This window comes from Homo sapiens, chromosome 2, assembly GCF_000001405.40.
Source record: "Homo sapiens chromosome 2, GRCh38.p14 Primary Assembly".
Lineage (NCBI taxonomy): Eukaryota > Metazoa > Chordata > Mammalia > Primates > Hominidae > Homo > Homo sapiens.
Genome location: NC_000002.12, coordinates 62,332,888 through 62,338,491, shown reverse-complemented (window position 1 = coordinate 62,338,491; position 5,604 = coordinate 62,332,888). Strand labels below are relative to the sequence as shown.

Here is a 5,604-nt window from a genome sequence, read left to right as displayed (position 1 = left end):
AAGGCTTCATTTGCTCCATAGACTGAGACAGAAGTAACATGTTGCAACTCCCACAGCTAGGCCTTAATTACATTACACATTTCTGCCATTATGTGAAAATGCCCAGTTCTTTCCTAAAGGAGGAAAGGCTATTTGAAGGAGAACTAGGGCACCCCAGCCAATAGCCAGCGTAAATATCAAGCACATAAACAAAGCCATCTGGGAACATCCAGTGCCAGCTGAGCTGCTGGCTGACTGCAGCTGTATAAGTGACCCCAAAGGAGATCAGCAGAAAAATTGCCCAGCTGAGCCCAACCTAGAATTATGAGCAAATAAATTTTTGTCGTTTTAAGCCACCCAGTTTCGGTGTGGTTTGTTACGCAGGAATAGATAACTGACACAGCCACCACGTGCGACTCCTGTAAACACTAAGCTAATTTGTGAATGCCTCCAGAATCACGGATTAGGACAAATTAAGAAAAAAATAGGCCCTTGGCACTATTGAGAAATAATATTTGGTTATGCCAGGACCTCTTGAATTCATGCTCTCTGAGAGAAGGGACACACATATGAGGCAATTACATTCCTTCTCCCTCCAAAGCAGTGTCTGTCTCCAGTGTCAGCAGGGGCACAACCTGTAGACCTTCGCAGTGTTTGGGCTCAGCAGCCTTTTGTTTTGAGAACATAGGAGGGAAATGTGGAGACTAAGGGTGTTCATCTCACTCATCGGTGCTCACGATTACGGGTCACACTGTGCCAGTGATATGTCCAGCATCCCAGGTGACAAAAGCTCCCATGTGGTCTTCAATAAATTTAATTTTTGTGTTTGTGACATGCAAGGCCCTCCAAAGGGTAGAGGGCCTCTTGCCTGGTCTAAGGGCAATATTGCACTGGCCCCAGATTCCAGGAAATGATGGAGGCCTTGCTTGGGGATTTGTCTATGAACAGTGACTAAGGAAAAGCACTAATGGCTATTCAAACTTGATGTCTATCTCTCTCATTTTTTTTTTCTTTTTTTGAGATGCAGTCTCACTCTGTCATGACCAAGCTGGAGTCCAGTGGCGTGATCTTGGCTCACCACAACCTCTGCCTCCCAGGTTTAAGAGATTCTCCTACCTCACCCTCCTGAGTAGCTGGGATTACAGGCACACGCCACCATGCCCGGCTAATTTTTGTATTTTTAGTAGAGATGGGGTTTCACCATGTTAGTCAGGCTGGTCTCGAACTCCTGACTTCATGATCTGCCCACCTCGGCCTCCCAAAGTGCTGGGATTACAGGTGTGAGACACCACACCCAGCCGATGCCTATCTCTTGACACACCAATCCAGCTTTAGAGAAGATATCCTATAGAAACAAAAGGACTAATAGAGAAGGGTACGTAAAAATGTCTGTCACAAGCATCGCTTAATGTAGCAAAAAGTGAAAAACAACATATACATCATTAACGGGAGATGGTTTCGTGAATTGTGATCTATTCATATTAGCACATGTTATAAAACCATTGAAAAGGTTGTTATATTTATGTTTAGTGACTTGGAGAGATTTCTTTATTGAATATTTACTGAGCATCATCTATGAACCTAGTACTGTTTAAATGCTAGGGATATAGCAGGGAATAAGACAAGGTTTTTTGCTCATGCATTTCACATCTTAGTGGAGGAAGACAGGCCATAAACAAATAAATAAGTATATAGTATCAGCTGGTGAGAAATGCTATGAAGAATAATGGTGGTGGGTTGGGGGATGGAGCCCGGGAGGAAGTGAGGGAAGGAACATTGTGGCCATCAGGAGGACGGGCATTCCAGACTGAGTGCCAAGGCCCTGATTTGGGAATGTGCTTAGTGTGATCTAGTAGCATCAAGGAGGCCAGGGTAGCAGGAGATGGGGATGGGAGGGAAGGTCAGAGAGCAGAGCAGGGATGTTGGGGGGCGGGGGATGTATATGCATGTTGTAGACCACGTAGGGCCTGGCAGCTCCTGGTGAAGACTTTGGTTTTGGTTTTTTTGGTTTTTTACTGATGGGGTCTCACTGTGTTGCTCAGGCTGCATTTGAACTCCTGGACTCAAGCAATCCTCCTGCCTCAGCCTCCCGAGTAACAGACAATGAATGCACTCCCCCCACCTGGCTAAGATAGGTTTTTACTCTGAGTAGAATGGAAACCAGTTAAGATTTCTAAGCTGAGGAGCAACGTGATCTGACAGATTTCAAAGGGTTCCTCTGGCTGCTGTGAGGGGAATGGACTGAAGGGACAAGGGTGGAAGCAGAGAGGGGTGTAGAGGCTGCTGTAGCTAAGTGAGAGAGACAGGATTGGGCTTGCACCAAGTGGAAGCCACGAGGTGGGGGGATGCAGTCTGATTCCAGATGGATTTTGAAGGTGGAGCCTGCAGGACGTCCTGATGGAACTGGATGTGGGGTGTCAGCAAGAAGCCAGACGGCCATTTAATAGTGTTAATGACTAAGGCTAGTTTCAGAGGAAAGAGAGTATAGCCCAATCCCATTTTTGCTCAAATAAACATCAAATAAGACACACTCCCTGTGCACGGATCTTTGTGTATACTAATCCGAGTCTATTAGTTGGCTAGGGCTGCCATCACAAAATACCACAGACTGGGTGGCTTCAGCAACAGAGATTTATTTTCTCAGTTCTGGAGGCCGGAAGTCCAAGATCAAAATGCTGTCAGGGCTGCTTTCTGGTGAGGCCTTTCTTCCTGTCCTGTAGACAGCTGCCTTCTCCTATGTCCTCATATGGCCCCTTCTTTGTGCTTGCTTAGGAGAGAAGTGGGAGCTCTCTCGTGTCTCTTTCCCTTCTTATAAGGACAGCGGTCCTTTTGGCTTTAGGCTGCACCCTTGTGACCTCACTAAATCTTAATTAGCTCCTTGTAGGCCCTGCCTCCAAATACAGTCGAATTAGGGGTTTAGGGCTTCGCCGTATGAATCTGGAGGGACACAATTCAGTCCATAACAATGAATACAGAGAAAGCTGCAGAAGGACATCCACAAGCCATTGCACTCCAGCCTGGGTGACAGAGCAAGACTCTGTTTCAAGAAAAAAAAAAAAAAGAAACCAACTTTCTAGCAAAAGGATCCAGAACATACCATGGTGAAGAGAGTTTCTTTCCTAAACTCCCCTTTCTGCCTAAAAGCAGAGCCTCCCAAAAGAATGCAACCATCATAGATCCCCTTCCCAGAGGTTTCCCAACCATGGAAGAGTGACTCCCTTCACCAGAGGGGAAGCCACAAGGCTATAAAAACTCTCCTAAATAGACATGGTCACAAAACTATCATATCTCCCTCATATCTATTTGCCTTAGGGCCCATTTATCTTTTCTAGAAGTCGCTGGTTTTCCAGTCTCCTTTCTCTCCATCCCCTTCTCCTATTAAGGGTGTATATTGTGTCATAAAATGTCAGAGCTACCGCCAAAAGACAAAGGTCTTTCATCTGAGAGCCTGTGAAAAAGATATATAAGCCCCCAATCCTAATCACCTCTTTGAGCCACATTTTTCTGTGAATTCCCATGTATGTATGTGAGTAAAATTCTGTTTTTGTTTTGCCAATCTGTCTTTTGTCAGTTTAATTCACAGGCCTCCAACACTGAACCTAAGAGAGTGGGGAGAAAGTGTTTCCTTTCTCACAGCTGTCACCTCCTCAGAGGGGTTTTTCCCTGGCTATTCTATCTCAACTAGGCCTCTTTCTCCTTTTTGTTTCCCACAGCATTTACCATACCTTATTCTGACTTTATTTGTCTGTTTACTAGGTTTTGGTCTGCCTTTCAGTAGAATGTAAGCTGCATGGAGGCGTATAATACAAATTCATTAACTACTCAGTGAATGACTGGATGAGGAAATCCGTCATCCTTGGCTCAGGTATTTATTGGTGAGTCTACAAGTGGCAGCTCAGTTCAGCACTCACTCACTGAGAACTTATTAGGTGTCACGATGGTGCTCGGCGTTAGGAACACACAGAGGCCCACTCCCTGTCCTCGAGGAGCTTACAGGAAAACAAGCAGCTATGCTGGGCCCTGGGAGAGGCAGGTATGAGCAGGAGAACCTTACTCTTCCCTCAAGAAGTTTACTGGTATAGGAGGCAGGGAAGAGAAAAAGGAAAACACGTGATAAGGAGCTTGGAAACAAACATGACTCCAAGTACAGTTATTTAGTACACAAATAAAACAGAGATGGTTAAACTATTCTCTAGGCCTTTGTTTAGGGAATAATTCACATCATTCTAATTACAGGGTTGTGAGAATAACAACAGTGTTGGATGGAGCTCATGGTACTTCTGCTTCATTTAGACAAATCTGCCTAAGGAGAGCCCATCCCCTACATACACAGACCCGCTGACAGGCATCGCTGGTTTCTCTTGGAAGCTTTCCAAGTGGCAAGCCTGGCGCCTAGGCTAGTCTTGGAGCCTCTAAAAAGCCTTTCAGGGCTGCCTCCCTACCTCAGTCAGGGCCCCATTAGCTATAAAGGCCAGAGATATACTGAAATTACCCCACCCCTCAAAGAGCACGTAAATAAAAGGGAGAATTTATTGAAATTATTTCAATGCACAGGAACCCAAGAGAAACTGAATAACTAGGCCAGGCCTAGTGTTCTCCGAAAGTGTTCTCATTTCTTCAGATTCCTGAGTTTAAATTTCCATATTCCCCTATTCTCCCCCCAGGTCAGGTGTCCGTGCTGCGGTACAATCATCCCACCCCTGTAAAAACAAGGCCCCCTAGGCCAGAGGAGATAACTCCAAAAGACAACCAGATGGGTGGAGTGATCAACCTTTGTGGTTCATCTGGGACTGAGGGATTTCATAGGGAGCATGGCTTTTAGAGCTAAAACCAGGAACGTTCCAGACAAACCTGGAAAAGTTAGTAATAAGTTCAGCCAACGTCACATCCGTTTCATGCCCATACATCATTAATTTTTTTTTTTTTTTTGAGATGGAGTCTCGCTGTGTTGCCAGGCTGGAGTGCAGTGGTGGAATCTTGGCTCACTGCAGCCTCTGCCTCCCGGATTCAAGTGATTCTCCTGCCTCAGCCTCCCGAGTAGCTGGGACTACAGGCACGCGCCACCATGCCCAGCTAATTTTTGTATTTTTAGTAGAGATGGGGTTTCACCGTGTTGGCCAGGATAGTCTCAATCTCTTGACCTCATGATCCACCCACCTCAGCCTCCCAAAGTGCTGGGATTACAGGCGTGAGCCACCGCACCTGGCCCCCTTCATCATTAATTTTAAGCAACACATTTCTTCATATTTAACATCACTGAAACCAGGATGTGTTTTAAAATGAGTGGCGTCCTGCAATGCGAAGCTGAGTTCTCCTGGAAATGATGCACAGCTGCCAGTCACTTCTAGGTCACCACCAACCTGAGACCACATTAAATTAATTTTCAGCTTGACTTTTTCAGACCACACTGACAGCATGAATTCAGACCTCAAATCTGCATGAGCACAGGCTCGTGGTTCAAATTGTCAGGAGAGAATTGTTGTTCCTCCCTCCACAGTGTCAGGATTGAGACGTGCGCATTTCCAGCCTGCCACTCCTGTGGGAAGACTTATTTTCTTACAGCATCCCAGCTTTTAAGTGGTGTCTCCATATTTGGCTTTTTTTTTTCTTGCATAATGGTACATA

The 5,604-nt window shown here is 45.6% G+C and overlaps 1 annotated feature.

The window, feature by feature from the left end:
* Nucleotides 4,259-4,488: an enhancer, noted in NCBI's record as "active region_15860". NCBI's record gives its function as "activates an Ori minimal core promoter by ATAC-STARR-seq in GM12878 lymphoblastoid cells {active_cell/tissue: GM12878}" and the evidence as "EXISTENCE:reporter gene assay evidence [ECO:0000049][PMID:35858748]".